The following is an 18,674-nucleotide window of genomic DNA, read 5'->3' as shown; positions in this document are numbered from 1 at the left end:
CTCTGCCTCCCAGGTTCAAGCAATTCTGCCTCAGCCTCCTGAATAGCTGGAATTACAGGCATGCGCCACTACACCCGGCTAAGTTTTGTATTTTTAGTAGAGACAGGGTTTCGCCATGTTGGCCAGGCTGTTCTCAAACTCCTGACCTCAGGCAATCTGCCCGCCTTGGCCTCCCGAAGTGCTGGGATTACAGACATGAGCCACTGCGCCTGGCGGAAATTAACTTTTAATAATTGAATACATAACTTCAGTAAATGAATGCCCTGGTGGCTATCTGCAAATATGCGTAGACTGATAGAGATTGTGAGATGTTGACTTGAAATCGGCAGAGACGTGATTTCCTAAAACAATAAAAAACTCTCGGTGGAGTCCCAAACAAAACGAAGTACAGCCTTCCCTCCATATACAAAGTTCTTGAATTCCTGGAAATTCACTGAGTGATAAATCTGTGTACAAAATACTTCGTGCTTGATTATAAAACCAAGTGAGGGGCAGGGCGCGGTGGCTCACGCCTGTAATCCCAGCACTTTGGGAGGCCAGGGTGGGTGGATCATGAGGTCAGGAAATCGAGACCATCCTGGCTAGCATGGTGAAACCCCGTCTCTACTAAAAATACAAAAAAGTAGCCAGGCGTGGTGGCGGGCGCCTGTAGTCCCAGCTACCCGGGAGGCTGAGGCAGGAGAATGGCGTGAACCAGGGAGGCGGAGCTTGCAGTGAGCCGAGATCGCGCCACTGCACTCCAGTCTGGGAGACAGCGAGACTGTCTCAAAAAAAACCAAAAAACCAAAAAAACAAAAACCAAGTGAGGTTCTAGGCTCAAATACTTACAAACAGAATTTTCACATGCATGGATGTCTGCTGAGACATTCTAAAGTCACGTGAGGAGATCAGTTTTCATCTCCTCACCTCTCCAACTATCTTGTGCATCGCAGCATGTCTGGCTTGTCTGACTCCAGCCAGCTGAGTGCCTGCTGTGCCCCCAGTCAATGGGACAACTAGAAAAAAACCTATAGAAATTTAAAAAATGTACACTAGGCGGCGCTGCCACCCTGGGCGAGAACCATATCTAGGCCCTCGTTTTATTCTGTTTCTCCTCACCCATCACTGACCACGTGAGATTGCAGTCTGCATTTTTTGTTTGTGTATGGCTTGTTTCCACGACTAGAGTGTGGGCTGCAGGAGGGCAAGGCTTTGTTTCTTTCTGTTTAAAAATGATGTGTGTGTGTATGTGTGTATGTGTGTTTATATATTTGTGTGTGTGTGTGTGTGTGTGTGTATATATATATATATACATATACTTTTTTTTTTTTTTTTGGTGAGACGGAGTCTTGCTTGTCACCCAGGCTGGAGTGCAGTGGTGCCATCTCGGCTCACTGCAACCTCTGACTCCCGGGTTCAAGCGATTCTTCTGCCTCAGCCTCCCAAGTAGCTGGGATTACAGGCATGTGTCACCACGCTAGGCTAATTTCTTTTTGTGTTTTTAGTGGACACGGGGTTTCACCATATTGGCCAGGTTGGTTTCGAACTCCTGACCTTGTGATCCAACCCCTTCAGCCTCCCAAAGTGCTGGGATTATAGGCATGAGCCACGGCGCCCAGCCTATATTTTTGTATTTTAAAAGCCGGATATATTTGTAAAAGATCATGCTTACAATCAGTAAATTACGTAGTAAAGAAACATCAAAATAAAGTAGATGAATAAAAGGCACACTCGAAAAATCCGAGAGCAGAAAAGACAGTTCTTTTTGTTTTATTTCTAATGTAGGCAGAAAGAAAAAGAGATATGTTAAAATTATTTTTTTCAAGAGAAGTTTTCTGTCAGTTGGAGTAATTAGCATTGGCTTCTTTTTGCCTGTGTCTAAAGCAGGATTTTCCTGCACTGGCTTCTGAGGAGGTTCAGCCTTCTGCCATGTGTGCCTTGATAGGCGACGGCCACTGCTGACATGGCAGGGATCACTCAGTTGGTCCACCAACTGGAGCTAGAATCAACAGCAGTGATAAGAGTTTCCGAAGCTTGTTTAACTTTGGTCTGTCGTCTGGATGGGGCTCCTGAATGATATATGTTTTGGACAATTCCATGGCATCTCAAAGATGCCCGACATCCTCAAAATTCTCAGTAGCGTCACCTCCAGCTTGTTCCCTTAAGACTTCTTCCCCACCAGAATGCTCTTCCAGAAATTTGGTCAAATAGTACACTTGTGGTGCAGAATCAGTCAGGTGCTCTTGCTGTCGTTGTGCTTCTGAATCTCCTCTAGGGTGTAGTACTTCACGGCCTCGTCCAGCTGCTCGGCCGTCTCGGTTGGCTGCGAGCCAGGCCCAGCACACACAGCCTCGTCGGGTGGAGTAGAGCTTGTGACTCCGCCAGCTCCACCTGGGACATTCCCCTCGCCAGGCACCACACCAGGGGCTGGGCGGCCGGCTCAGGGGCGGGGCGACGTAGAAGCACATATGTATATATATATTTTAGAAACAGGGTCTTACTATGTTCCCAGGTTGGTCTTGAACTCCCGGGCCCCAGTGACCCTCCTGCCTCGGCCTCCCAAAGTCTCAGGATTACAGGCGTGAGCCACTGTGCCTGGCCAAGGTTTTGTTTCTTCCGCTGGTGTACCCCCAATGCCAACAACAGTGCCTGGCAATGACTGGGCTCGCCAAGGGGGAGTGGATAAATGAGTGGTATCCAAGCCCTCCCTAGTTTCCATCCTTAGAACTCTACGTTAAAGAGTGTTCGGAATCAGTTCTTTTTCTTTTTTGAGATGGAGTCTTGCTCTGTCGCCCAGGCTGGAGTGCAATGGTGCGATCTCGGCTCACTGCAACCTCTGCCTCCTGGGTTCAAGTGATTCTCCTGCCTCAGCCTCCTGAGTAGCTGAGATTACTCAAAGTGACCTACCTTCAGTCACTTTTAAATCCAACTCCCAATTTTGGACAACATAGAGATTTTTGAATCTCTTTCTTTGCTCACATTGTGTTTTTGTTTTATTTTGTTTTTTTGAGATGGAGTCTCACTCTGTTGTCCCACCATGATCTCGGCTCACTGCAACCTCCACCTCCCAGGTTCAAGCAATTCTCCTTCCTCAGCCTCTCAGGTAGCTGGGATTACAGGTGTGCACCACCATGCCTGGCTAATTTTTGTATTTTTAGCAGAGACAGGGTGTTTACCATGTTGGCGAGGTTGGCCTCAAACTCCTGACCTCAAGTGATCTGCCCGCCTCAGACTCCCAAAGTGCTGAGAGTACAGGTGTGAGCCACCGTGCCTGGGCTCACATTGGTTCGATTTTACTCTGACAATGGTTCCTGCCAGCCAGGCACTGCACCAGTACTGCATAAGCGTCCTCTCATTTGATCCTCCAGGAACTCCCTTCGGTTAGGCACTGTCATTATCCTCACTTGACAAATAAGGAAACTGAGGCTCAATAGAGAGGCTGGGCAACTTTATCAATGTCACACCCACTGAGCGCAAGGCCTGGGTTTTGAATACCAGGCCCTCGCTGTCCATGCGCAGAACCACCGGGCTATATACCCCTCTGGACGCACTTTAGGCAGATCAGTGTGTTACAGTCGAGAGAAGTCTAGTCTAGGAGCCAGAAGACCTGGGTTCAAGGTATTAAGTCGGCCACTGGCTGGCTGTGTGACTTCGGGCGGCCCCTTAACCTCAGCTTCCTAGCTTCCTCATCGACCAAGTGAATAAGGAAGAACCGGCCAAGGCTGGGCACAGTGGCTCACGCCTGTAATTCCAGCACTTTGGGAGGCCAAGGCGGGTGGATCACCTGAGGTCAGGAGTTTGAGACCAGCCTGGCCAACATGGTGAAGCCCCATCTCTACTAAAAATACAAAAATTAACGGGGCATGGTGGTGCATGCCTGTAATCCCAACTTCTCAGGAGGCTGAGGTGGGAGGATCTCTTTAACCCAGGAGGTGGAGGTTGCAGTGAGCTGAGATTGTGCCACTGCACTCTAGCCTGGGTGACAGAGCAAGACTCTGTCTCAAAAAAAAAAAAAAAAAAGGAAGAACCAGCCAAAAAGACAAACTGGACCCAAGGCTGCATGGACTGCTGTATACCTCCTCAGGAGGGAATTCAGCTCTGCTCTGAGCCAGCCAGGGGGCCAGGCATGCCCAGGATGTCCTGGAGAAGGCCCTGAGGACAACATCCACATGGGGGAGGGGCTTCCACTGGAGGGACAGGGGACTGTTCCGGCCTGAAGAGAGAGGACCAGCGGGTGGGTGGGTGAGAAGGACCTTCCAAGGGAGGAAAGTTCGCCGGTTTTCCACGTGTCCTGACATGACCCGGCACTCCTGAACAACAGCCAGAGACAGGGATGGAGGGCAATGTTAACACTCCTCAGGGCGGCCTCCGTCTTAGGTTAGAAGATAAAAAGATCTGATGCCACCCTGAGGGAATCGAAGGCTAGGCACAAAGGGAGGAAGAACTTTCTGTAAGCCAGGGGTATGGATACAGAATGGGGGGCCATGGTGGAGAGAGTGCTGGGGTGAGTAGAGGCATGTCAGGAAAGTTGTCCAGAAGCTTCAAGCCAGGCTTTCCAACATGAAGATGCTATTTGCATATAACCTATGCCCCCTCCACATACACACACACAAAAGACCAAGATGCCTTTCCCTCCTCTTCCCACTAGACCTTAAAAATCCTTTGCGGGCTTTCCTAGGCACGACATGGAGGAAGCTGCTGTGATCTATTCCACCAACCCTGCTGGGGCCAGGCCTGCCTGGATATTTCTGGCTCTCTCAAAAGAAAACAAACCTTTACCCACTAATGTAAGCAGGCAAAATCTTTACCCAACAAAACAAACAAACCAGCTCCTGGAGGTCATGCCCGGCTTTCCTAATATGGCATCGGGTTGGTACCCTTGGCACCCAATCAACATGAGTAGTCCCGCTCCCAGGAGAAGAGGAGAAACAGACTACAGGTGCAGATAAAAGTCACATTCACATTGAGGTGGCTTCAAAGTTGGACAGTGCTCTTCATGGGTAGTGTTGCCAGATAAAATACAGAAGGCCCAGTTAAACTGTAATCCCCCATAAAAAGTGACTATTTTTAAAAAATAGGCTAGGCGTGGTGGTGCACACCTGTAATCCCAGTACTTTGGGAGGCTGAGGTGGGAGGAACGTTTGAGCCCAAGAGTTTGAGACCAACCTGGGCAACATGGCGAGACCTTGTCTCTACAAAAAATTTAAAAAGTTAGCCGAGCATGGTGGCGCCTGCCTGTGGTCTCAGCCACTCAGGAGGCTGAGGTGGGAGAATCACTTGAGCCTGGATGGCTGGGGTGGCAGTTATGACCACACCACTGCACTCCAGCCTGAGTGACATTGCTTAAAAAAATAATAATAATAATTTAAAAAAGTATATCCCACAGCCCATTTGGGACATACTATAAAAATTATTCATTGTTGGCTGGGCATGGTGGATCATACCTCTAATCCCAGCACTTTGGGAGACTGAGGCAGAGGGATCTCTTGAGGTCAGGAGTTCCAGACTAGTCTGAGCAGCAAAGCAAGACCCTGTCTCTAAAAAAATACAAAATTAGTCAGATGAGGCTGAAGTGAGCTATGATGGCATTACTGCCATCTCAAGTAGCTGAGACTTCAGGTGTGAACCCACATGCCTCGCTGCCTCTTTCCTCTCTGACTCTGCAGAGTGTGTAACTGGCCTTAACAGATGTTTGCTAAATAAATGCTTAATCTATGCTACAAACACATGGAATAACTTCGGGGAGGTGCTACCTCACTGTCTTCAGTTTGTCATTTTGATTTTCTTAGTTTGCCTTTTTCAGGCCTGGCCCGGACTCCAGGAAGGAAAACTAGCAGTCCCTACATGTGTGAGAAAACTAAGCCTCTAAGACCTCCTTCTGTTGTAAATGTCTTTATGGCTTCACACACCCGAATGCTCATAGGTTTGCATCTATAGATTTGAATCCATCTACCAGTATAAGAAATCTTAGACAAGCTTAACCAGGCGTGGTGGTGCACGCCTGTAATTGTAACCCCAGCTACTCAGGAGACTGAGGCAGGAGAATCACTTGAACCCAGGAGGCGGAGGTTGCAGTGAGCTGAGATTGTGCCACTGCACTGCAGCCTGGACAACAGAGTGAGACTTTGTATCAAACAAAACAAAACAAAACTACAGTTAAAAAAAAAAAAAAAGTCGGCCGGGTGCGGTGGCTCAAGCCTGTAATCCCAGCACCTTGGGAGGCCGAGGTGGGCGGATCACGAGGTCAGGAGTTCGAGACAATCCTGGCCAACCTGGTGAAACCCCGTCTCTACTAAAAATACAAAAAAATTAGCCGGACGTGGTGGCGGGTGCCTGTAGTCCGAGCTACTCAGGAGGCTGAGGCAGGAGAATGGCGTGAACCCGGAAGGCGGAGCTTGCAGTGAGCTGAGATTGCGCCACTGCACTCCAGCCTGGGGGACAGAGCCAGACTCCTTCTCAAAAAAAAAAAAAAAAAAAAAGTCTTAGCGAAGCAACCAATTGGTTTATGTTAACCGACCCTATAAAAGCAACTACATACATGTTCAAATTTAGCAGAGCGTTGGGGTAAGAAGAATACTCATTTGAGTGTAAAAAAAAGAAAAGTGGAGAATTTATAAACAGTGAAACCATTTCGAGCAGGGTTCAGCAAAACCTTTTCTGGCAAGGGCCAGATGTAAGTATTTTAGGCTTTACAGGCCGTATGGTCTCTGTCGCAACTATTCAGCTCTGCCTTTGCTGCAGGAAAGGAGCCACGGGCAAGATTTAAAGGAATGGGTGTGGCTGTGTTCCAACACAACTTGATTCATGGATGTTGAAATCTGAATTTCCTTTCACTTGTCATGAACTATTATCTTCTTTCGGGACATTGTCTTGCTCTGTCGCCTGGGCTGGAATGCAGTGGCACGATCTTGGCTCACTGCAACCTCTGCCTCCCAGGTTCAAGTGATTCTCCTGCCTTAGCTTCCCGAGTAGCTGGGATTACAGGCGCACGCCACCACACGCAGCTAATTTTTGTATTTTATTTTATTTTATTTTTTTGAGACAGAGTCTCACTCTGTGGCCCAGGCTGGAGTGCAGTGGCGCGATCTCGGCTCGCTGCAACCTCCATCCCCCGGGTTCAAGCGATTCTCCTGCCTCAGCCTCCTGAGTAGCTGGGATTACAGGTGCCTGCCATCGCGCCTGGCTAATTTTTGTAGTTTTAGTAGAGACAGGGTTTCACCATCTTGGCCAGGCTTGTCCTGAACTCCTAACCTCATGATCTACACGCCTCGGCCTCCCGAAGTGCTGGGATTACAGGTGTGAGCCACTGCGCCTGGCCTAATTTTTGTATTTTCAGTAGAGATGAGGTTTTGCCATGTTGGACAGGCCCCTGAGCTCAAGTGATCCACCCGCCTCGAACTCCCGAAGTGCTGGGATTATAGGTGTGAGCCACCACGCCAGGCCCTTTTGATTTTTTTTCCCCTAACTACTTAAAGATATTAAAACCATTCTTAGCTCAAGGGCAGTATAAAAATGGGTGGTTGCTTCTCTCTCCTCTTCCCCACCCAAGCCCCCATATCAAAAAACAAACAAAGACACACCAAAAAAACAAAAGGGTGATGAGTAGGGTTTGGTCTGGCTGTAGGTTGTTGAACCCATGGGCTGTGGTTTCAGCTGGCCCTGCTTTCAGCTCTGACCTCAACATTCACTGACTGTGACCTTGGAAGAGTGCCTTACCCTCTCAGCCCTTCAGTTTTCTCAGCTGGGAAGTGGTAGGAAATAACTGGCCGACAGATGGGGCTGTTATGAGGACTGTATGTGATGCTGCCTGCACAATGTCGAAGGCTTATAAATGCATGCACGGTAGCTATTATTATTATTATTATTTTGAGACAGGTCTTGCTATGTTGCTCGGACTGGTCTTGAACTTGGCCTCAAGTGATCCTCCTACCTCAGGCTCCCAAAGTTCAATATTCTTTACAGTTAAAAAAAAAAAAATAGCTACCTGGCCGGGCACGGTGGCTCACGCCTGTAATCTCAGCACTTTGGGAGGCCGAGGCAGGCGGAGCACCTGAGGTCAGGAGTTCAAGACCAGCCTGGCCAACATGGTGAAACTCCACCTCTACAAAAATACAAACATTAGCCTGGCGAGATGGTGCATGCCTGTAATCCCAGCTACTCAGGAGGCTGAGGCAGGAGAATTGCTTGAACCGGGGAGGCAGAGGTGGTAGTGAGTCGAGATCACACCACTGCATTCCAGGCTAGGCAGCAGAGACTCTGTCTCAAAATAAATAACTAAATAAATAATAGCTACCTGTAATCTCAACTACTAGGGAAGCTGAGGCAGGAGGATCACTAGAGGCCAGGAGTTCAAGGAGTTGCCCTAACCAACCTGGGCAACATAGTGAGATCCTGTCTCTACAAAAATATTAAAAAATTAGCCGTGTGGTGGTACACACCTGTAGTCCCAGCTACTTAGGAGGCTGAGTCGGGAGGATGGCTTGAGCCCAGGAGTTGAAAGCTGCAGGGAGCTACGATTGTGCCACTGCACTCTAGCCTGGACAATAGAGAGACACTGTCTCAAAACAAAACAAAACAAAAAGCAGACTGGGAGTGGTGGCTCACACCTGTAATCTCAGTGCTGTGGAAGGCCGAGATGGAAGGATTGCTTGAGCCCAGGAGTTTGAGATCAGCCTGGGCAACATGGTAAGACCCCATCTCTACAAAAAATAAAAAAAAACAGCTGGGCACGGTGGCTCATGCCTGTAATCCCAGCAATTTGGGAGCCTGAGGTGGGTGAGTCACCTGAGGTCAGGAGTTCAAGACTAGCCTGATCAGCATGGTGAAACCACATCTCTACTAAAAATACAAACAAAAAATTAGCTGGGCATGGTGGCAAGTGCCTGTAATCCCAGGTACTCTGGAGGCTGAGGCAGCAGAATTGCTTGAACCCGGGAGGCGGAGGTTGCAGTGAGCCGAGATTGTGTTATTGCTGTCCAGCATGGGTGACAGAGCAAGACTCCATCTCAAAAAAAAAAAAAAAAAATTGGCAGGCATGGTGGTGCACACCTGTGGTCTCAGCTACTCCAGAAGCTGAGGTGGGAGGTGGGAGGCTCATGTAAGTCTGGGAGGTTGAGGCTGCAGTGATTGCACCACTGCACTTCAGCCTGGGCAACAGAAAAAGACTCTCCCAGAAAAAAAAAATATATATATAGATATAGATATAGATAGATATAGATATAGATATAGATATAGATATAGATATAGATATAGATATAGATATAGAAGTCTGGGTGCCAAGGCTCACACCTGTAATCCCAGCACTTTGGGAGGCTGAGGCAGGCAGATCACTTGAGGTCAGGAGTTTGAGACCAGCCCGACCAACATGGTGAAACCCCATCTCTACTAAAAATACAAAAATTAGTCAGGTGTGTTGGCAGGTGCCTGTAATCCCAGCTGCTTGGGTAGCTGAGGCAGGAGAATTGTTTGAATCCAGGCCACAGGGCAAGACTCTGTCTCAAAAAAAAGAAAAAACATATATATATATATACACAGAGAGAGAGAGAGAGAATATTGAGAACCTGATTATAAATGATGATGACAATTTTATGCTTTATTTCTCCCATATTTTGGTGTAGTGTAATAGTTCTCAATCTCCATGGGCACCTAAGCGCCTCGGGGCAGACTTGTCTTTTGCATTTCCTGATGCTAATCTTGGATGCAGAGAGTTTGCTTCATTTCACTGCATATCATTATCACTGGCACATGTGAGGTGCAGCTCTTGTTTATTTTGGGGGTCCAACTTTCCCTCCAAGCCCCTTCTCCCCTAATAATTCCTTTTTTTTTCTTTTTTTGAGACCAAGTCTCGCTCTGTCACCCAGGCTGGAATGCAGTGGTGCAATCTCAGCTCACTGCAACCTCTGCCCCTAGGGCTCAAGCAGTTCTCCTGTTTCAGCCTCCTGCGTAGCTGGGACTACACTACCATGCCCGGCTAATTTTTGTATTTTTAGTAGAGACAGGGTTTCACCATATTGGTCAGGCTGGTCTCAAACTCCTGACCTCAGGCGATTTGCACCTCAGCCTCCCAAAGTCTTGGGATTACAGGCGTGAGCCCCTGTGCCCAGCCCTCCCCCAATAATTTTGATTCAGTTGGTCTGAGGTGGGATCCAGACAGGGGTATCTGTTTTTAAAGCTCCTCAGTGATTCTAAAATGCAGCCAGGGAACCCTGGAACTTGTGTTTTGTTCTCATTTTTAGTATCTTCTGCTCAGAGTGACCAGTGAACCCAAGGCATCAGCATCACCTGCTAGACATGCAGAGTCTCAGGCCCCGCCCCAGACCCACTGAATCAGAATATGCATGTTAACAAGTTTCCCTGGCCGGGCATCATGGCTCACACCTGTAATCTCAGCACTTTGGGAGGCAGAGGCAGGAGGATTGCTTGAGCCCACAAGTTCAAGGCCAGCCTGGGCAACATAGTGGACCCTGTCTGTACAAAAAAATAAAAAAAAATAATAGCTGGGTATGGTCCCAGCTGCTTGGGAGGCTGAGGCAGGAGGATCACTTGAAGCCGGGAGGTTGGGGCTGCAGTGAGCCATGATCATGCCACTGCACTCCAGCCTGGGTGACAGAGCAAGACCCTATCTCAAAAATAAATAAATAAATAAATAAAATTCCCAGGTGATTCGCGTGTTCACTGAAGTTGGAGAAGTGCAATTCTTGGTGGTGGGTGTGATGCTTCCCTTTCTACGATTGACAGGAGTTTGAAAGCAGTGTTTGAGACACAGGACTGTAGATGGAATCCTGTTTTAGACCCAGGAGGGGGCTGGTGAAGCATTGACTGCTGAGACACGTGTGCTGTGAACTTTTGGGGTGTGTGTGTGTGTGTGTGTGTGTGTTTTAATCTAGGGTTCTTGTAAAATGAGGTGCCGTTGCAGTAGTCTGTCTAGCAGAGCCCAGAGGGTGGGACTGTGCCAGGAAAAGCAATTTAGGACCCTAGAGGCCCACCAGGGGCCTCCTTCCCCATGACCCTGGAGGGTGGACGTCACTGGGGCTTGTGAGGCTGGCCAAGGATGGGCTGTAGATGGCATTTCTTAATATAGTTACTCAATAGTTATGTTTTCTAAGTGCCACAGAGGACTAAAGGAATGTCACTAAATGTTTGGCATAGAAGGAGCTAATGGCTTTGAGAGGAACATTTCCCAGGCTTTGGTAGGAGAACAGCTGTCATAGAAGGGGAGTGTCATGGAGACAAACCCCACACTTGAGCCTGGCCACTGCTTTTTCACCACTTTGGTTTTGGGCATGAAACAATGGTGTGAGCAGAGAGCCAGCATTGCCCAGGGAGGCTGTGATCTTGGGGCTTGGCCTTGCCCAGGCAGCAGGCAGGGCTGGCTGCTGCTGGCTTTCTCTGTCTGCCTCCATTTATCAGTCTGTACAAAGGGCATGTTGCTACGGCCAGCAAGATTTCAAAACTCCAGGGTACTGCCTTGCTCTCTGAGTATTTCCTTCCTTCTTTCCTCTGGAGGTCTTGAGAAGACTCCTGTCCTTGACCTCACAGTAAGAAGGATGGTGGGGAAAGCCCAATATGAGGGGGAAAGCCCCACCCTGCCATTGCTCTGTGACTTCCAGGGGGCACTTCACCCGTCAGGACCCTCATTCCAGCAGATGGGGAGAGCATGCCCCTCTCTGCAGGGTGGCTATAGAAAGCCATGAAGCCAGGTATTTAAGAGTTCTTTAGAAACCAGATTCAGGGTAGCTGTGTATACACTAAATGAGCACCTCTTGAATAGAATCACTTCCCTCCCACCAGACCTGCAAAGTCAGTTTAAATCTCTCCTATCTCACTTTTTCAGGAATAACAGCTGACTTTAGTGTCTGATCAGTTTTGTCACCTCCAAGGAAATCATGGATTTATTGATTTATTTATTTATTATTTTTTTGAGATGGAGTCTCTCTTTGTCTCCAGGCTGGACTGCAGTGGCGCGATCTCGGCTCACTGCAACCTCTGGACTACAGGCGTGTGCCACCACGCCCAGCTAATTTTTGTATTTTTAGTAGAGACGGGGGTTTCGGCATGTTGGCCAGGCTGGCCTCGATCTCTTGACCTCGTGATCCGCCCGCCTCAGCCTCCCAAAGTGCTGGGATTACAGGCGTGAGCCACCGCACCTGGCTGGAAATCATGGATTTAGTTAAGAGTATCAGTTGGCGTTAAAACCATTAGGAGGTCTATCAGCAAGGGAACGAACAATAAAACCGTGGCAGATTCATTCAAAGAAATCAGTCAATAATGGGGGCCAAATGTGATACACACAACAATGTGAATGTATCTCATAGATAATGCTGACTGAAAGAGTTCCTATTGTAAGATTCTGTGTGTATGAATTACAGAAACAGGCAAAACTCATCTGTGTGATAAAAGTCAGAATAGAAGTGAGGTAGTTTGGATATTTGTCTCCGCCCAAATCTCATGTTGAAATGTAATCCCCAGTGTTGGAGGTGGGGGCCGGTGGAAGGTGTCTGGATCATGGGGACGGATCCCTCATGAATGGCTGGGGCTATCCACTTTTAAAGGACCAGATAAGTGAGTTCTCACTGATTTCATGAGAGATCTGGTCCTTTAAAAGTACACGGCGGCAGAGTGCGGTAGCTCATGCCTGTAATCCCAGCACTCTGGGAGGCCGAGGCAGGCGGATCACTTGAGGTTCGAGACCAGCCTGGCCAACACGGTGAAACCCCGTCTTTACTAAAAATACAAAAATTAGCTGGGCATGGTGGCACATGCCTGTAGTCTCAGCTACTCAGGAGGCTGAGGCAGGAGAATTGCTTGAACCTGGGAGGTGGAGGTTGCAGTGAGCCGAGATTGCACCACTGCACTCCAGTATGTGTGATAGGGTAAGACTCTGTCTCAAAAAAAAAAAAAAAAAAAAGAAGAAGTGCATGGCACCTCCACTCTACTCTCTGCCTCTCTTGCTCCTGCTTTTGCCATGTGATGCCCAAGTTCCTGCTTTGCCTTTTGCCATGAGTATGAGCTCTCTGAGGCCTCCCCAGAAGGCCAGTGATTCCAGCACTATGCTTACTGTGGAGCTTGCAGAACACTGAGCCAATTAAACCTCTTTTTTTTTTTTTTTGAGACAGAGTCTAGCTCTGTCACCCAGGCTGGAGTGCAGTGGTGCCAACTCGGCTCACCACAACCTCCAACTCCCGGGTTCAAGCAACTCTCCTGCCTCAGCCTCCCGAGTAGCTGAGATTACAGGCTCCTGCCACCAAGCCCAGCTAAGTTTTGTATTTTTAGTAGAGATGGGGTTTCACCAAGTTGGCCAGGCTGGTCTCTAACTCCTGACCTCAGGTGATTTGCCCGCCTTGGCCCCCCAAAGTGCTGCGATTACAAGCCTGAGCCACTGCGCCTGGCCCTCTTTTCTTTATAAATTACCCAGGGCCAGCTGGGCGCAGTGACTCACACCTGTAATCTCAGCACTTTGGGAGGCCAAGGTGGGTGGATCATCTGAGATTGGGAGTTCGAGACCAGCCTGATCAACATGGAGAAACCCTGTCTCTACTAAAAAATACAAAATTAGCCAAGTGTGGTGGCACATGACTATAATCCCAGCTACTCAGGAGGCTGAGGCAGGAGAATCGCTTGAACCTGGGAGGCGGAGGTTGCGGTGAGCTGAAATCATGCCACTGCACTCCAGCCTGGGCAACAAGAACAAAACTCCATCTAAAACAAACAAACAAAAACAGTCCCTGGTATTTCTCTTTTCTTTCTTTTCTTTTCTTTTTTTTTTTTTTTTTTGACATATTCTTGTTCTGTCGCCCAGGTTGGAGTTCAGTGGCGCAATCTCTGCTTACCGCAACCTCCGCCTCCTGGGTTCAAACGATTCTCCTGCCTCAGCCTCCCAAGTAGCTGGGACTACAGGCACCCGCCACCGCACCTGGCTAATTTTTGTATTTTTAGCTGAGGGGGGGGGTTTCACCATGTTGGCCAGTCTGGTCTTGAACTCCTGACCTCGTGATCCACCTGCGTCAGCCTCCCAAAGTGCTGGAATTACAGGCATGAGCCGCCGCGCCTGGTCTTCTGGTATTTCTTTATAGCAATGCAAGAACTGCCTAATACAAGAAGTTTGTTTTGTGTGCCCCCACGCAAGGGAGTTGACAAATCAAAGGACACATTCAGAGGAAACTTCTTGTATTAGGCAATTCTTGCATTACTATAGGCATTGCATTGCCTTGATATTATCAAGAAGAGGGCACCAGAGGTAGCTGGGGAGCTAGGAATGTTCTCTATATTGATTTGGGCTTTGGTTCCATGGGTGCGGACATATGTAAAAATCTTAGAACAACCAGACCTTCTGTATTTTCTGACATACATAACACCATCTATAATGTATTTCAGTCCAAAGCTTTTAACTTGACTCTAATCAAGACTTTAGATCTAATTTCTAGGCCAGGTGCAGTGGCTCACACCTGTTATCCTAGCAATTTGGGAGGCTGAGGCAGGTGGATCACTTGAGGTCAGGTGTTTGAGACCAGCCTAGCTGATATGGTGAAGCCTCATCTCTACTAAAAATACAAAAATTAGCCACTTGTGGTGGCACATTCCTATAGTCCCAGCTACTTGGGAGGCTGAGGCAGGAGAATCACTTGAATCCAGGAGGCCGAGGTTGTGGTGAGTCGAGATCACACCATTGCACTCCAGCCTGGGCAACAAGAGCAAAACTCTATCTCCAAAAAAAAAAATGTTATTTTTAAAAGATGAATGGTTTCTCGTGCATCTTTTCAGATTGAGACGTTCTCCATTCACACAAACGCATCTATGTGCACGTGGTCCCTTACTTTCTTTACTTAGCAGCAGCCTACCATACACATTGCATTATACTTGGGGTTTTTTTTGTTTTGTTTTTTTGTTTTTGAGACGGAGTTTTGCTCTTGTTGCCCAGGCTGGAATGCAATGGTGCGATCTTGGCTCACCGCAACCTCCGCCTCGGGGATTCAAGCAATTCTCCTGCCTCCGCCTCCCGAGTAACTGAGATTACAGACGTGCACAACCATGCCTGGCTAATTTTTAGTAGAGATGGGGTTTCTCCATGTTGGTCAGGCTGGTCTCAAGCTCCCGCCCTCAGATGATCTGCCTGCCTCAGCCTCCCAAAGTGCTGGGTATGAGCCACCGAGCCCAGCCCCCTACACTTGGGTTAAAAACCCAAGTGATATGGTTTGGTGGTGTCCCCACCCCAATCTCAACTTGAATTGTATCTCCCAGAATTCCCACGTGTTGTGGGAGGGACCCAGGGGGAGATAATCGAATCATGGGGGAAATTCTTTCCTGTGATATTCTCGTGATAGTGAATAAGTCTCACAACATTTGATGGGTTTATCAGGGGTTTCCACTTTTGCTTCTTCCTCATTTTTCTCTTGCTGCCACCATGTAAGAAGTGACTTTGCCCTCCTGCCATGATTCTGAGGCCTCCCCAGCCATGTGGAACTGTAAGTCCAATTAAACCTCTTTTTATTCCCAGTTTTGGTTATGTCTTTATTAGCAGTGTGAAAATGAACTAATATAGCAAGTTAAAAACACACCACATATACACGCTGCATTATACTACACAGTTACCAGTTACCATACACACCACATTACACCACCTGGCCAGGCATGATGGTGTATACTTGTGGTCTCAGCTACTTGGGACACTGAGGTGAATTGCTTAAGCCCAGGAGTTTTAGACCAGCCTGGGCAAAATAGCAGACCCCATCTGTAATAATAATAATAATAATAATACTAAATAAATAAAAATAAAAATGTAGGCTGGGTGTGGTGGTTCATACCTATAATCCGAGCACTTTCGGAGGCTGAGGCGGGAGAATCACTTGAGCCCAGAGGTTCAAGACCAACCTGGGCAACATAATGAGACCTATCTGTATTAAAGTAAAATTAATTTAAAAAAATTAAAATGTGGCCAGGCACAGTGGCTCACGCCTGTAATCTCAGCACTTTGGGAGGCTGAGGCGGCAGATCACCTGAGGTCAGGGATTCGAGATCAGCCTGATCAACATTGAGAAACCCTGTCTCTACTAAAAATACAACAATTAGCCAGGCGTGGTGGTGAGCACCTGTAATCCCAGCTACTTGGGGGAGCTGAGGAAGGCGAATCACTTGAATCTGGGAGGTGGAGGTTGCAGTGAGCCAAGATCGCGCCACTGCACTCCAGCCTGGGCAGCAGAGTGCAACTCAGTTTCAAAAAAATAAAAAATAAATAAAATAAAATAGTCTGGGCACGGTGGCTCATGCCTGTAATCCCAGCACTTTGGGAGGTTGAGGAAGATGGATCACCTGAGGTCAGGAGTTCGAGACCAGCCTGGACAACCCCATCTCTACTAAAATATGAAAATTAGCTGGGCATGGTGGCATGCACCTGTAATCTCAGCTACTCCAGAGTCTGAGGCAGGAGAATCGCTTGAGCCTGGGAGGTGGAATTTGCAGTGAGCTGAGATTGTGCCACAGCACACCAGCATGGGTGACAGAGCGAGACTCCGTCTCCAAAATAAATAAACAAATAAATAAATAAATAATAAAAATAAAATAAAAATGTATATTAAAAAAGACGCAGGGCCAGCCATGGTGGCTTTTATCTGTAATCCCAGCACTTTGGGCGTCTGAGACAGGAGGATCACTTGAAGCCGCAAGTTTGAGACCAAACTGGGCAACAAAATAAGGCCTTGTCAGCTGGGCATGGTGGCTCACGCCTGTAATCCCAGCACTTTAAGAGGCTGAAGTGGGTGGATCTCTTGAGGTCAGGAGTTCAAGACCAGCCTGTCCCACATGGTGAAACCCTGTCTCTACTAAACACACAAAATTAGCCGGGCATGGTGGCTCACGCCTATAATCCTAGCACTTTAAGAGGCTGAAGTGGGTGGATCTCTTGAGGTCAGGAGTTCAAGACCAGCCTGGCCCACATGGTGAAACCCTGTCTCTACTAAACACACAAAATTAGCTGGGCATGGTGGCGCACGCCTGTAATTCCAGTTACTCAGGAGGCTGAGGTAGCCCTCCCTCTCTTTCGTCCTTGACAGGGCTTCACTCTGTTGCCTAGCCTGGTCTTGAACTCCTGGCCTCAAGCTATCCTTCCGCCTCAGACTCTCAAATTGTTGGGATTACAGGTGTGAACCACTGCACCCAGCCTTTTCTTTTTAAACATTTTATTAAAATTTGTTTTTCATTTAAACTTTTTAACAGTCTTATGAACTAGGTCTGATGATCACTGCTATTTAATAAATGATAAGACTAAGGTTTGGACACATTTACTAGCTTGCCACAGTCACACAGTTAATAAATCACAGATAATACACGGTCATGGCCAGCTGCAGTGGCTCATGCCTATAATCCCAGCACTTTGGGAGGCCGAGGCCTCCTGACCTCAGGTGATCTGCCCTCCTCTGCCTTCCAAAGTTCTGGGATTACAAGTGAGCCACCGTGCCCAGCCAAGTTTTTGTATTATTAGTAGAGACAGGTTTCACCATGTTGGCCCGGCTGGTCTCGAACTCCTGACCTCAATTGATCTGCCCACGTTGGCCTCCCAAAGTGCTGGGATTACAGGTATGAACCACCACACCCAGCCACTGTGTCTTGCACTAGCAAATTTAACTTCTGTGTCAATCATTGTCCCTCTCCCCTGAGAGGTCTGAGACCACCTAGAGGAACTTACCTAGCCTGCATTCAGTTGATATTTCCTGAGCACCCTTGCATGCAGAGGGCTCTTAGAGGCAGCTTGACTTCATTTAGAATCCAGAGAGAACCCAGATTCTTAGCATCATCTAGTTTATTTTTATTTTTATTTTTATTTTTTTTTAAGACAGGGCCTTGCTCTGTAACCCAGGCTTGGAGTGCAGTATTGCGATCACGGCTCACCGCAGCCTCAACCTCCTGGGCTCAAGTGATCCTCTCACCTCAGCCTACTGAGTTGCAGGGGCTACAGGCATGTGCTACCACACCTGGCTAATTAAAAAAAAAATTGGCGGGGCGCAGTGGCTCATGCCTGTAATCCCAGCACTTTGGGAGGCCAAGGCGGGCAGATCACCTGAGGTCAGGAGTTTGAGACCAGCCTGGCCAACACGGTGAAACCCTGTCTCTACTAAAAATACAAAAAATTAGCCGGGTGTGGTGGCGGGTGCCTGTAATCCCAGCTACTTGGGAGGCTGAGGCAGGAGAATCACTTGAACCCGAGAGGCGGAGGTCGCAGTGAGCCGAGATCATGCCATTGCACTCCAGCCTGGGTGACAAGACCAAGACTCCATCTCAAAAAAAAAAAAAAATTTTTTTTTTTGGCCAGGTGCAGTGGCTCATGCCTGTAATCCCCCAGAACTTTGGGAGGCAGAGGTAGGTGGATCACTTGAGGCCAGGAGTTCCAGACCAGCCTAGCCAACATGGCGAAAACTCATCTCTACTAAAAATACAAAAATTACCCAGGTGTGGTAGCGCACACCTATAGTCCCATGAAACTTGGAAGGCTGAGGCAGGAGAATTGCTTGAACCCGGGAGGCAGAGGTTGCAGTGAGCCAAGTTTGCACCACTGCACTCCAGCCTGGGTGACAGAATGAGACTTCATCTTAAATAAATAAATAAATAAATTTTAATAGAAATGGGTCTTCCTGTATTGCCAGTGCTGGTCTTGAGTTCCTGAGCTCAAGTGATCCTCCCACCTCAGCCTCTCAAAGTGCTGGGAT

General features: G+C 48.0%; 1 pseudogene, besides 1 other annotated feature; it reads right to left on the bottom strand.

Moving 5' to 3' along the window:
• Positions 1-1,410: 1,410 nt before the first annotated feature.
• Positions 1,411-2,381, bottom strand: CYB5AP3 (cytochrome b5 type A pseudogene 3; annotated as a pseudogene).
• Positions 1,825-2,324: an enhancer, noted in NCBI's record as "H3K4me1 hESC enhancer chr14:93604409-93604908 (GRCh37/hg19 assembly coordinates)". NCBI's record gives its function as "activates a minimal SCP1, AML or CMV promoter by ChIP-STARR-seq in primed H9 embryonic stem cells {active_cell/tissue: H9 hESC(primed)}" and the evidence as "EXISTENCE:reporter gene assay evidence [ECO:0000049][PMID:30033119]".

This window comes from Homo sapiens, chromosome 14, assembly GCF_000001405.40.
Source record: "Homo sapiens chromosome 14, GRCh38.p14 Primary Assembly".
In the NCBI taxonomy this organism is placed as follows: Eukaryota; Metazoa; Chordata; class Mammalia; order Primates; family Hominidae; genus Homo; species Homo sapiens.
Note: the sequence above shows the minus strand (reverse complement) of the source record. Positions and strands in the feature narration are given on the sequence as shown.